The sequence below is a fragment of the Homo sapiens genome, chromosome 14 (assembly GCF_000001405.40).
Source record: "Homo sapiens chromosome 14, GRCh38.p14 Primary Assembly".
Taxonomy (NCBI): Eukaryota; Metazoa; Chordata; class Mammalia; order Primates; family Hominidae; genus Homo; species Homo sapiens.
The window spans coordinates 96,654,565-96,662,541 of record NC_000014.9 but is presented as its reverse complement, the minus strand read 5'-3'; the positions used below and the strand labels follow the sequence as shown (position 1 = coordinate 96,662,541).

General features: G+C 42.4%; 1 annotated feature.

The window, feature by feature from the left end:
• Positions 1,806-1,895: an enhancer, noted in NCBI's record as "active region_8989". NCBI's record gives its function as "activates an Ori minimal core promoter by ATAC-STARR-seq in GM12878 lymphoblastoid cells {active_cell/tissue: GM12878}" and the evidence as "EXISTENCE:reporter gene assay evidence [ECO:0000049][PMID:35858748]".

Here is a 7,977-nt window from a genome sequence, read left to right as displayed (position 1 = left end):
ACGCGTCGGCAAAACTTGCTGGTCTGCAAATCCCGCACAGGTTGAATGTGCTGTTGCTCTGACGCGCCCGTACTTGAAAGGTTGTGCAAGGAGTGCACTGTCCTCTCCCAAATGGGGCAGCAGCCCGCCTCCAGGGACCAACGGGGCGAAGACGTCAGTCTTCAGCCTCGGCCTCCCAAAGAAAGAAATGCATTAGTTGAGGGACTTCCAGGGAGGGTGCAGGTGGAAGTGATGAAAACTGAGCTTCTCTACTAGAGGAGCTGAAGTCAGAGCAAAGGCCAGCCCTGCCAGAAAGGCCCAGCTGAGAAGAGTGCTGGTTTCTCCCTGCTCAAGGCCACACACTCATCCTGGACCCCAGCCCCAGAAGGGCCTTCTGCCCTTGACCCCAGTGCAGTGTTCTGACAGCCCAGGGCTGGAGCACCAGGTCTATGCAGCTGCCTCTCTCTCAAAATTCAGGTCGTAGTCATGTCTGTATCTTCAGAGCCTGGCACACAGTAAGCCCTCAACAAATGATTATTAATAAATAATAAGAGTTTGGGACACTTGATGGTGTGAGTTGGCTGAAGGTGAAAGTAAAGGAAAATAAATGACAAGTTTGGGACACTTTATTAGTCATGCTGTTTGGTTATGAAGCAAAGCTTAGACTAATGATTGCAGTTAGCTGTTTCTTTACATACTCCAGTGTTTGCAAATCTCTTAGCACTTTTCTTAAATGCTCCTGAGTGCTGCCAGCAGGAATGCCAAATACAGTTGTACAGAATGTGCACTGCACAAGGGTGCCTGGCCAAGGGAGTGTGATTGGAGCCTGAAATTGAGCCTGTGGTTCACCTGCCAAGTCATATGCTTGTCCAGAGTGGCCACCTTTTCTCAGCTCTCACAAAGGCATTGAATGGGCTGAGAGCAGCCCTGGGTATCATTGGAATATGGGTGACAGGAGGGGAGAGCTGGCTCAAGTGGAGCCAGAGGTTCTGCTCAGGAAGAAGCAGTTGTCCACTGGGGCAGGCAGAGGGCAGGGCCCAGAAGGTTGTAGCCTTCACCAGCATGATACAGGAGAAAAATCCCCAGGCAGAGCCTGCCTTCTGTCCTCTCCCAGCCTCTGGTATGTGGCTGTGTATAGCCCAAGGACAAGTCCCCAGGTTATCCTCACTGTTGATGCAGGGACATGGAAAGAAAGTATGAGGTGCTAGCAGTGAGAACTGGCAAGATAGAAACCAGAACATTTTTATTAGTGTGAGTCTCAAAGCAAACCTATGAAGTGTGTATCCCTATTTGCAGATGGGGAGACTGAGGCTTAGAGAGTTTAAACAACCTGTCCCATCACAGAGCTGGAGAGAAACCAGGGTTTCAACCCGGACAGGCTGGCTGCAGAGTCCATGCTCTTTCAGAGTCCATGCTCTTTAGCAGGGTTTGTCTTGAAAATACTTAACAATCAGGAGGGTATTAAAACAGTTATCTGCCTTAGGGCTAGAGCAGGGGCCTGGAGGCCCCTGCAGGTTCTTAACCCCTCAGCTGCTGGATTACTTGGTGGTCAAGAGAAGGCGGGAGGGCCCTCTAGGGATCCGGCAGTGGCTGTTTACCAATTGGAATGCAAACATTTTAGTGTTTTGACAACTGGTACACCATGCAGGTGCCTACAGGCGAAATGTCAGCCTGCCTCAGAGGTTCCCTGAGTCTGAGAGAAGCATAAGGGAGGTGGCCAGAAGCAGAGTCCTGAGCAGGGAGCGGAGTCTGGAGACAGCAGGTGCAGTTGAGGCAGCAGGAAATGAGCAGGGTGGGGAACTTCCAGCAGCTGGCTTTTCAAGAACTGGGCTGGGGCCCCCCAGCTCAGCCAGAGAACTGAAACTTACTGATGGGCACTTGAAGAAGGGAAAACAAGGCTGATGATGGAGAGGCCAGGTCCTGGACCGAGCACCCCTGCTGACCCAGCATCCTTGAACACGTCCTCCATCCCCTTCCTGGTAAATAAAGGACTTAGGCTAGAAAATCTCCTAGGAATGCTCCAACAATAACATTTTATGATTCCATGTTTCTAACAAATGAAAACGCTATTGAAGGAAAAGGAAAAATAAAAACATCTGCACTTTTTGCCATTGAGATTTTGTGTTGCTGGTGTTTTTTTAAGCTTAGAATGTCCTGTGATCCCCACTGGTGACAGGAGATGATGGTTTTATTGTAGTTATAGATCATTAATTTTGTAGACAAAAATGTGAAAACACAGCTTATCTCTGTCTGCAGACACTTTGCTATGCCAGAGCATGAAACAGTTCTCAGTTGAAGATAAAGAACTGCTGTCTAGAGTTTTGTGATATGAAGCAGGGAAGACAATTCCCCCCAAAGCTAAGTGGGCTCCATGTTAGACATGAGAGATATAGCTGCAGTAGTCTCTAGGTAAGGACTGAAGTGTGTCAGGCAGGAATGCAGGGCTGGGGAGGGCTGTTGGAGAAGCTATTTCGAGGCCAGAATACCCTACTCTGCTGCACTTCCACCCCAACCCACCCAACCTACCCTGATCCTGTGTAGACTCTCAGAGCTACTGCTGGGGCACTGACTGTCACCATGATTTTCTTCCTTCCTGTATGCTTTTCTTGAGAGCAAGAGTGCTTATTTTGTGTTTGTTCTCTGAGCTCCTAGCACAGTGCCTGGACAGTGAACCCTTGATAAAGGTTTGATAAATGATGGGATGGATAGATGGATGGATGGACGGACGGCAATCCAGGGATTCTCAATGGCTCCTCTCTCACCATTCTCAAGGAGTCAGCATTTGCAAATTTAGTAAATCTGCTTACTAGAAGGTTTGTTCTTGCAGATGTCCTCCAGGTCTTCTGTACCTCTAAATCTGAGCCCTTAAATGTAAATGCTAGCAAGACTTTTCAGTATAGCAAAGTGAAGAGCAATGATAAACTCAGCAATGTCAAAAACAGCCATTGCAGACCGGGTACAGTGGCTCACGTGTGTAATCCCAGTACTTTGGGAGGCCGAAGCGGGTGGATCACTTGAGGTCAGCAGTTCGAGAGCAGCCTGGCCAACATGGTGAAACCCCGCCTCTACTAAAAATACAAAAAAAAAAAAATTAGCCGGGCATGGTGGCACATGCCTGTAGCCCCAGCTACTCAGGAGGCTGAGGCAGCAGAATCGCTTGAACCCAGGCAGCAGAGGTTGCAGTGAGCTGAGATCACACCACTACACTCCAGCCTGGGTGATAGAGTGAGGCTCCATCTTAAAAAAACAAAACAAAACAAAACAAAAAAACATCCGTTGCAGAACCTATAAATCGCACCAAATCGAGAACTGGTTATTCAGATAAGAAAAGTGGAAGTAAGTAGCATTCTTGCCTGGGGCTGCTCCCATCTCCCACTCCTGATCTGTTCTCCCAAGACCAGTCAAGTCATGAAAGTCAGTAGTTTTGATGCCAGAGGAGGCTGGCTTGATTGGAGTAGAGCACTGAAAAACTCCACACCCAATGGCATTGTCAGGAACAGTAGCAATCTCAGTGGCAAATGAACAGGAATGATCAGTTCAGCTAGCCTGGGATTGAAGTTCTGACTGGGGCAAGCACGGACCAGCAGAGTAGCCAGAAATTTCACAGGGAGATATAGAAATGAGACAACAATAGGGAGCTTTGATAAACTCTTGACACATCCAAGCAGGAGAGACCTGAGAGGGCCCAAGCTCTCCAGACTTTCCAGACAGACTGTGAACATGCGTACATGTGCTGAGAGATACGAAAGAAAAATGCAGAGCAGATTGAACTTTGAACACGTTACCTGCACACACTGATATATCAGTAGAAGGTAGAAGCCTTACTTGCCCAAGGTGGATGATCACAACATTGACAATCATTGGCTGGCTGACAGACTGTACAGATACAGGGGTTAGTCCTAGAGAGCCAGGCTTAAAATCAAACAAAACAAAGAATTTTTAAGAACTGAATGGAGACATATGCAGCTGCCTTCTGCAGTAAAATAGATACCACAGATATTGGTCAGGAAAGTTGTTAAACAGCAATCAAACAGCTACAACCACCACCTTGGATCAAAATCCAGAGTTACCAGAATATATAATCTTAAAATATTCCATTTTTAACGATAAATTATGAGATCTGCAAAGAAACAAGAAAGCATGATAAGAAAGGAGGAGGCACTTTGGGAGGCCAAGGTAAATGGATCACCTGAGGTCAGGAGTTTGAGAGCAGCCTGGCTAACATGGTGAAACCCTGTCTCTACTAAAAATACAAAAATTAGCTGGACATGGTGACGCATGCCTGTAATCACAGCTACTCAAGAGGCTGAGGCAGGAGAATCGCTTTAACCCAGTAGACGGAGGTTGCAGTGAGCTGAGATCGCACAATTGCACTCCAGCCTGGGCAATAGAGTGAGACTCCATCTCAAAAAATAAAAATAAATAAATAAATAAAAAGAGAAAAGAAAGGAAAAGGAGGAAGCAGTCAGTAGAAATTTTGTCTAAGGGGGGCCAGATGTTGGAATTAGCAGACGAAAACACCAAAGCACCTATTGTAAATGTGTTTTCTTAAAAAAAAAAACTAAAGGTAACTGTCATTTAAAAAATCAAAAGAAAGTATGACAACAATGCTCAAAACATAGAGAATATCAACAGAGATATACATTATTAAAAAGAACCTAATAGAACTTCTGAAAATGAAAAGTACAATAATGGAAATGAAAAAACTATTAGAGGGACTCAACACCAGAATTGAAATGACCAGGAGACAGAATTAACAAACTTGAATATACATCATAGAAATTATCCAATCTGAACTAAATGGGGAAAACGAATGTAGAAAAATGAACAGAACCTTGAAGGTATGTGGGACAATATTGAGTATACCAATATATGAGAAATGGGGATTCTAGGAGAAGAGAGAGAAAGAAAGTAGACGATGTAGGAAAAACCAACTCAGCTTCTCCTACTATAGTCTCACAACACAGAATACTTCTGTGGCCCCATAGGTGTTTGGGTTTATCCACACACACCAAGCAAGTAATCCTGCAGTGGACACCAGCTGAGTACTCTCTAATTCAATTTGGTTCTAACAGTGTCTACCTGGAGATAGCATCAGATCCCACAGATTAAGACCTCAGTCTCCAAGGCTGCCCCCACTTCAGACACCAGTAGCAAGCACAGGTTGTGGCATGAGCTTCTGACCAACCAACTATAAATTGAGGGTTCCCCTGAACCCTTCCTCAGGTTCAATTAATTTGTTAGAGTGGCTCACAAAATTCAGACAAATACATTATTTACATTTACTGATTTATCATTAAGGTAATTATAAAGGATACTAGTAACAGCCAGATGGAAGAGATGCATAGAGTGACGTATGAGAGAAGGGGCATGGAGGTTCCATGCCCTCTCCAGTCATGCTAGCTCCAGGAATCACTGTATATTCAGCTATCTGGAAGCTTTCCAAACCCATATGGAAGCCTCATTACAGAGGCATCATTGATTAAATCATTGGCCATTAGTGATTAGCTTAATCTTTAGTCCCTCTCCCCATCCTGGAGGTTGAGTGGGTGAGGCTGAAATTCTCAGCCCTCTAATCATGCCTTGGTTTTTTCTGTGACCAGTCCCCATCCTAAAGACACCTGGAGCTTCCAGCCACCTGTAATTAGCATACAAAGACACATTACTCCAGAGATTCCAAGAGTTTTAGGAGTTGTGTGTCAGGAAGTGGGAAGACCAGTTAATATTTCACAATACCATCAAAAAGGAGAGAGAGAATTATAATGAAATAATGGCAAATATTTCCCAAATTTGATGAAAAACATGATATATTCTAGAAGCTTAATGAACCACAAGTAGGATAAACACAGAGGTCCACCCTAGATTTATCATAATGCAATTGTACAAAGAGAAAATCTTGAAAACAGTAAGAGAAAAATAACTTATCACATACAAGGGGGACCACCAATATGATTAATGATTGCCTTTTCATCACAAACAAGGAAAACCCAAGTACAGTGCAATAACATATTCAAAGTGCTAAAGAAAAAAAAAAACTGTCAACTAAGAATTCTATATCACTAAAAGTATCCCTCTAAGAATAAAATTGAAATGGAGACATTCTCAAACAAAAAGCAACCAGATAATTTGTTGCTAGCAGACCTGCCTTATAAGAAACACTAAAGGAAACCCTTTAGGCTGCAAGGAAATAACATCAGACTTGAATTCATGCAAAGAAATGAAAAGCACCAAAAAAAGGTAAATATATAAATAATATAAAAAACTATATTATTTTTTTCCTTTAAAAGATATAAAATTGGAGAAAACAATATAACACTGTATTGTTGGTCTTATAACACATGTACATATATATGCATATAGGATGGAGGAGGAAATAGACCTATATTGGAGTAAAGATTATGTATTTTACATGAATTAAATTAGTATTAATCTGAAGCATATTGTGATAAATTAAGAAGCATATAGTAATCCCCAGATCAATCACTGAAGGAAAAAAATAAACAAGTAATAAACTTTTTAAAAAAATTTAAGCCAAGAAATAAATTAGAATGCTAAAAATTATCTAACACAAAAAAAGTGGAAAGAAGAAACAAAGGAAGCAAAAAGGAATGGGACACATAGAAAACAAAAAGCAATATGAAAGATGAATTCAGTCACACCAATAATGACATTAAATGTGAATGGATAAAACACTTCAATCAAACGGCAGAAATTGTCAGACTGATTTTTATTTTTTAATCCAACAGTATGGTATATACAAGAAACCTCTTCTAGATTAAAACACACAAATAGATTGAAAGAAAAGGATAGAAAAAGATATACCATCAAGCAGTAAACATAACAGAGCTGGAGTGGCTATGTCAATCCAAGACAAACGGAGATAAAGAGGGACATTTTGTAATGATTAAAGAGATCAACTTATTTTTAATAAAATATAACAATTATATAGAGACGTAATGAAAGAGACCCAAAAGGTAGGAAGTAATAATTAACAAAATTAGGCCAGGTGCAGTGGTTCATGTCTGTAATCCCAGCAATTTGGGAGGCCAAGGCAGGAGGATCACTTCAGCCCAGAAGTTCAAGACCAGCCAGGGCAACACAGGGAGATCTCATCTCTACAAAATGAAAAATAAATTAGCCAGACATGGTGGTGCACACTTGTCCCAGCTACTCAGAAAGCTGAGGCAGGAGGATTGCTTGAGCCCAGGAGATCAAGGCTATAGTGAACCATGTAGTGCCACTGTCCTCCAGCCTGGGTGACAGAGTGAGACCCTATGTGAAAAAAAAAAAAAAAAAAAAGGATGTTCATTGCAACATTATTCACAATAGCCAAGAGGTGGAAGCAATCTAAACGTCCATCAGTAGATGGAGAGATAAAGAAAATATGGTACATACATATAATGGAATATTATCCAGCCTTAAAAAGAAGGAAATCCTGTCACATGTACAACACGGATAAACCTGGCAGATATTATGGTAAGTGAAATAAGCCAGTCACAAAAAGTCAAATGCTATATGATATACTAATATTTTGATATATTATATATGTACTTATATGAGATATCTAAAGTAGTCAATCAAACTTGTAGACTGCAAAGTAGAATGGTGGTTTCCAAAGGATAGAGGAAGAAGAATATGGAAGCTGTTGTTCAATGAATATAGAATTTCAGTTTTCCAAGATGGAAAGGTTCTAGAGATCTGTTGCATAACAAGTGAATACACTTAACACTTCTGAACTCTACATTTAAAAATGGTTAAAATGGGCTGGGCATGGTGGCTCATGCCTATAATCCCAGCAATTTGGGAGGCTGAGGCAGGTGGATCACCCGAGGTCAGGAGTTTGAGACCAGCCTGGCCAACATGGTGAAACCCCATCTCTACTAATAATACAAAAATTAGCCAGGTGTGGTGGCATGTGCCTGTAATCCCAGCTACTCAGGAGGCTGAGGCAGGAGAATCACTTGAACCCGGGAGGCAGATGTTGCAGTGAGCTAAGAT